At 39.8% G+C, this 3,198-nt stretch overlaps 1 annotated feature.

Moving 5' to 3' along the window:
* Positions 1,190 to 2,389: an enhancer, noted in NCBI's record as "BRD4-independent group 4 enhancer chrX:82147473-82148672 (GRCh37/hg19 assembly coordinates)". NCBI's record gives its function as "activates an origin of replication core promoter dependent on BRD2, P300/CBP, MED14 and CDK7 cofactors, and independent of BRD4, by STARR-seq in HCT116 cells {active_cell/tissue: HCT116}" and the evidence as "EXISTENCE:reporter gene assay evidence [ECO:0000049][PMID:35650434]".

Raw genomic sequence — 3,198 nt, 5'->3', positions numbered from 1 at the left:
AAATGTATTAGAGGGAAGTGGATAGTAGGATGGTATAATTCAGTCTCCACAAACCAAAATGGAAGCTGCTAGATGACAAAGAATTTAACCTCATCCACTTTTATATCCAGCAAAATGCAGCATGTTACAAATTAAATATTTGCTGAAGTAAATAGGTCTATCCAGTTCCAGATACGGTGGATTAGCTCATTTTCTAACACTCAGCAGTTGAATAAAATATGACTGAATTTAAATACTTATAAACAAAGTGTTTGAACTCAGGAGGATGAACATAAAAGTATTACTTTCTTCACTCCTTTTTCAAATAACACCCTTGCTTTACCTTTAGCATCTTCTCTCACAACATTCCCCGTTCAAATCACAGAGAAACAATATGAAAAAGAGATACATCTTCAGAAATAAATCTGTTATGGTTACATGTTTCGTGTGAGCCCAAACATTTTTTACACCAACAACAATAAAGATCACTAAGTATTACTAACTCATTTTTTCCTAAATAAAGATTCTACACAAAGCCATGGCCCTCTAAAAATATCCAGATAAGAACTCAAGTGACTGTACTAAAATTATACCACAATAGAAACAACATCAGCCCACACTGGTGAGAAGGAACCAGTGCAAGAACTCTGTAAACTCAAAAACCCAGAATGTCTTCTTTCCACCAAACAACCACAGTATTTCCCCAGGAAGGGTTATTAACTGGGCTAAAATGGCTGAAATGACAGACATATAATTCAGAATATAAATAGAAATAAAGATAATAGACATCCAGGAGAAAGCTGAAACCCAATCCAAAGAATTTAAGGTTTACAGTAAAATGATATGGCAGCTGATATATTAAATAATGATTGGAAGAAAGAATAAAATTGATAAGATAGAGCTGAAAAACACACTACAAAATTTTTATAATGCAATTGCAAGTATTAACAGCAGAATAGACCAAGCTGAGCAAAGAATCTCAGAGCTCAGAGACAGGTTCTCTGCCTGGACATGGAAAGCAGAGGATCACACTGCACTGCATTCTCTGCACAAGGATGGTGGTTTGGCTCAGGCTGCTGCTCCAGGCAAGTGGGTGTTCTGAATGATTGTAGATATGCTTGGGGGTCAAGTGGAGGGGGCCTCACTGCCCCACAATCTGCTGAGGATTGGTTGGGTGGCTCAGACTGTCAATCTTGGTGAGCAGTCGCTCCAAATGACTGAGGATATGTCTGGGCATGTAGCAAAGAGGGTCTCCCTGCACCAGATCTCTGCACAGAAAGATTTGAGCTGATCAGGCTGCTGATCTGGATGAGAAGTTACTTCAAATGCCTGAAGATCTGCCTGGGCATGAAGCAGAGTGGAACACATGTCACCATGGTCTCTGTCCAAATGCCTGGAGATCTGCTGGTGTATGGAGCAGAGAGTTCCCTGCTGCAGCATAATTTATGCAAAGGAAGGATGGGGTGGCTCAGGCTGTTTGTCCAGGAAAGTGGGTGCTCTGCATCCCTAGAGTTCTGCCTGTTGTTGGAGTAGAGAAGGTCCTGCTGTGCACAATCTCAGGGAAGCAGGCTTGGGCACCCAGCAATAACACATGCAGGCCAATTCCTGGTCAGCAATCTGGCCTTGACTGCAACACTCATCACCCTAGAGAAACCACAGCTCCAGCAGCTCTACTCCTGCCACAGGCATGAAACAAGGAAGAGCACAATTTCAGTGCATACAGCTGTGAAGCTTTCCACAATTCTGGCTATGGAGGCTCCTGCCCCACTCCAGAGCAAGTACTTCAATCTTTGGCCCAAATCTAAAATGCTTGCACATCCATACTGCAGGATTGCCAAAAAATGACTTACATTGTATTCACCTGGATTAAAAATAGCATTCTGTTGTCAATCTCAGGTTGCAAAAATCCTGCAGCTTTTCCTAGTGTTTTTCACTTTCAGTGTCTCCAAGGCTCTCCCCACATTTACTCCAGTGATTAGGAGAAGCAAGGTTCTTGATTTTGGCCTCTTTTGCTAAGACCCCTAGTGTAAAGGTGAGTAACAGAGAGAGGCTGTATTAGTGTATTCTCACAATGCTACTAAGAAATGCAGGAAACTGGGTAATTTATAAATAAACAGATTTAAATGGCTCATAGTCCTGATGGCTGTACAGGAAACATGATGCTGGCATCTGCTCAGCTTCTTGGGAGGCCTGAGGAAACTTACAATTCTGATAAAAAGTGAAGGGGAAGCAGAGATGGCACATATCCAGAGCAGAAGCGAAAGAGAAAAGGAAAAGATTCTATGTCCTTTTAAATTACCAGATATCATGAGAACTCACCAAATATCACGAGGACAGTACCAAGGGGACAGTATTAAATCATTCATGAGAAATCTGCTCCAGGATTCCATCAGCTTCTACCAGGCCTCACCTCCAACATTAGCTATTATGTTACTATGTTTCAACGTGAGATTTAAATGGGGACATACCTGCAAATTATACCAGAAACTCTCTGCTTCTATCATATTCTGGGGTTCCACCTACTTTTATCAGCCAGATGCCATCATTGGGGCTCTTTGCCCACGATCTCCTCTCTGGGATCTCAGTTGTCTTTCTCTATTCCAGTGGATTCCCATTTTCCTTCTTGAATTAAAGCACACAGAGTTGATGTTATGCACTATTTTGCCATTTCCAGGTGGCTGAGGCATGCAAAAGGCTCTAATCTTCCCTTTTTGAAAATAAACAAAGATTTGTGTTTTAGACTGTTCCTCCTGGTGGCAGTGTGAGCAGATTGGAAGCAGTAAAATGTATATATAAAAGAAACAATTAAAAACTGATGAAATATTCCAGGAAACTGATAAAAGTAGTTTGAAATAAAGCGTTATTTTTGGGATAGATTTAAAGGATTTTAAGACTGTAGAATAGACAGTACAAAGTGATTAATTTGATATGAAAAGTGTGAGAAAGAAATGGATATGGATTCTCAGTTTACTTGGGTTATAGAACGTAAGAGGAAAGAAAATTCCAGATAAAAGGATAAGCAAAATAACACTAAGTTTTAGTCAAATGGAGTTCCAAATGTCAGAATAAATTAATAATTTACTTTGACAGTCATAAATATTTAAGCTGAAGAAAACTAACATTCATCTGGTTGACATTTCCATTTCACCATAGAGAAAACTGAGGCCCAGAAAAAAATAAAATAAAATTATACAGCTAGCTAGTGACAGACCAATGACT

Source organism: Homo sapiens, chromosome X (assembly GCF_000001405.40).
Source record: "Homo sapiens chromosome X, GRCh38.p14 Primary Assembly".
NCBI lineage: Eukaryota > Metazoa > Chordata > Mammalia > Primates > Hominidae > Homo > Homo sapiens.
Note: the sequence above shows the minus strand (reverse complement) of the source record. Positions and strands in the feature narration are given on the sequence as shown.